The following is a 2,977-nucleotide window of genomic DNA, read 5'->3' on the forward strand; positions in this document are numbered from 1 at the left end:
AACCCAAGATGTATTAAAGTGTGAATGGCCTTCAGATGTAAAAGTAGAAACATGGCTGATGAAGGATGGATCCTGGAGGGGGAGGCTGGAGTTGATGGAAAAGGCAAAGAAAATGTTAGAAGTTCTGAGATTCTCATCCAGAAAGTGGAGGGCAGAGAACTCCTGGAGCAAGCAATAGCGCTGAATTATATTTAAAGTTAAATTAATTCAAGCTGTTGGCCGTTATGAATAATGCTGCTATGGACGTTTACTTACATGTCTTTTCGTAGACATGTGTTTTAATTATCTTGGGTAAATTCCTGTAAATGGAAATGTCTAGAAAAGGCAAATGTATGGAGACAGAAAGCAGAGTGGTGCTTGGCTACTGTTGGGATGGAAGTGATGTTGGCTTTAAATGGGTAGGAGAACATTTCTAGGATGTCAGGGATGTTCTGAAACTAGATTGTGGTGATGGTTGCACAGCTCTATAAATTACCAACACCATTGAATTGCACACTTACAATTTTATGGCATAGAAATTATATCTCAATATTATATTTTAAAAATATAATAAGTAAAACTTCTAAAAGAAAATTATAGGAGAATAACCTTATGACTTGGGCATAGGCAGACACTTCACACATACACATGCACACACAGACACACACACAAACACAAGTGCCAATAAACACACAAAAAAACACTTAACATCATTAAGTCATCAGGGAACTGCAAATTAAAACTATAATGAGACACAACTACCAGAACAGTAAGATATCAGCAAAGATATTGAGGAACTAGAATTCTGAAGCATTATTAATGGGAACATAAAGTCATACATTCACTTTGGAAAAATGTTCTGGTGGTTTCTTATAAAGCTAAATACACACAACATTTCTGCTTCTAGGTGCATATCTGCAAGAAATAAAAACATATGTCTGCCAATAACATACTTGTACAAGTATGTTTCTAGCAGCTTTATTTATGATGAGCAAAAACTCATGGAAACAGGCCATGAGTCCATCAGTAAACAACCAGATAGACAATTGACATAGGCAGTGTCATGAACCATCTCAAAAAACATTATGCTGAGTGAAAAAGAAATGCTGTTTATAAAACATTATTTATTTTACAGATTCTTTCTGTATGAGTTATGGAACAAGGAAAACTAATCTACCATGGAACAAATCTGAACAGTCATTGTCTCTGTGCTGGGGACAGTGTAGGGACGTGGAGAAAACCCTGGGGCAGTGGTAATGTTCAGTACCTCGACAGAGGCTTCGGCTACACAGGAATATGTGTTTGTCAAAACTCATTTGAGAGTACACTTAAGATCCGTGTATTGAATTTTATACACATTTCATTTCAAAAAGATAAAGAAGGAAAAGGATTGCCCTGAGAATGAGAGTGGTATTGACTATAAATGGGTATGGGAAAGTTTTTTTTGTTTGTTTGTTTTGTTTTTTTTGAGACAGAGTCTCTCTCTGTCACCAGGCTGGAGTGCAGTGGCATGATCTCAGCTCACTGCAGTCTCCACTTCCTGGGTTCAAGCAATTCCCCTGCCTCACCGTGGGGTGGTGGAATGTTCTAAGACTGGATTGTGGTGATGACTGCGTGGCTGACTGAACTCTGGATCAGTATTGCAGGCTGAAGTGTTGACAGGTGGAGTGCACTGATGTCTCCAACTTACTTTGAAACTCATCAAAAATTAATATGGATTGATGACAGAGGCACAGACAAATGAAAAGATGTGCGATAAAGCAAGTAGAGTAAGATGTTGATGAAATAATCTATGTGGTGTGAGTATGGGTGTTCTCTGTGAAATTCTTTGAACTTTGTGTATGTTTGAAAAGAGTCATAATAAAATGTGGGGAACAATGTAATCAAGGGAAGAGCTAAAAATAATACAACTATTAAACATAAAGAAGAGAAACAGAGGAAGAGGTACTGGTGAGCTAAGTCCTTATTTCTTATTTTTGAGAGTCAATAGATATTCTCTAAATTTAATAAATCTTTTAAATTATTTTTATTTTTTTCTTTTTTCTTAGAGTCATGGTCTCACTGTCACCCAGGCTGGAGTGCAGTACTGTCATCACAGTTCACTGTAGCCTCAACCTCCCAGGCTCAAGCAATTCTCCTGCCTCAGCCTCTCGAGTCATTAGAACTACAGGTGCACATCATCTTGCCTAGCTAATGTTTCAAAAGTCTTTTTTCTTTGTAGAGAAAAGGACTTGCTATATTGCCTAGTCTGGCCTTGAACTTCTGGCTTCAAGCGATCCTCCAGCCCCAGCCTCCCAAAGTGCTGGGATTACAAGTGTAAGCAACTGTGCCTGGCCTCAATTTAATAAATCAATACAGATATACATTCATATTATTTCACACAATGGAGGTAAAGAACAAAGGAAATAAGACAGAAACTATCTAAAGAAATTATCTCTGAGACATAAGATGGGGGAAGTGCATTAAATTTGGCTTTCATAATAACCTTTTGAATTTTTTTTACCATTCAATGTATTACTTTGATAAAAAAAAAAAAAAAAGAACACACAGAAAATGTCTCTGAGCCCACAGACACATTCATCAGCTAAAGGACTGCCGAGGACCTTAGCCCAAAGCTCTCTGCCCACTCTCTGGGTCTGAGTGATTGACGATGTCGGGAGTGTCACTGCTGGAAGGAATTCAGGATCAGAACCACTTTCATCTTGTGTCAGGAGTCTGAACTCCATGGCTGTCTGGTGTCTGCCAGGTGAAGTGCACAGCTAAATGTGTTCAGATTATTCCAGAATGGGTCATTATTGGAGTGGGGAAAACAAGTGCCCACACACAGTTGAAGCACACGCTGGGTTTTTACTGATTCCCAAAGTTATTCCCTTCCTTCCAAAATACAATAGTTTGATCCCTCTATAGTTTATAAGTGTGATGATTGGGTTTCATACTCATGTGTGAGATGTGCCTCCCTCAAACCCTCTCATGCCACCAGCACATAACCCATCCCATG

At 38.6% G+C, this 2,977-nt stretch overlaps 1 non-coding gene across 1 annotated transcript; it reads left to right on the forward strand.

The window, feature by feature from the left end:
- Window positions 1-2,874: 2,874 nt before the first annotated feature.
- LOC124904797 (small nucleolar RNA U13) lies at window positions 2,875-2,977 on the forward strand. Its single transcript, XR_007067380.1, has one exon. It is a non-coding gene; the product is annotated as a small nucleolar RNA U13 (small nucleolar RNA).

Source organism: Homo sapiens, chromosome 19, assembly GCF_000001405.40.
Source record: "Homo sapiens chromosome 19, GRCh38.p14 Primary Assembly".
Lineage (NCBI taxonomy): Eukaryota > Metazoa > Chordata > Mammalia > Primates > Hominidae > Homo > Homo sapiens.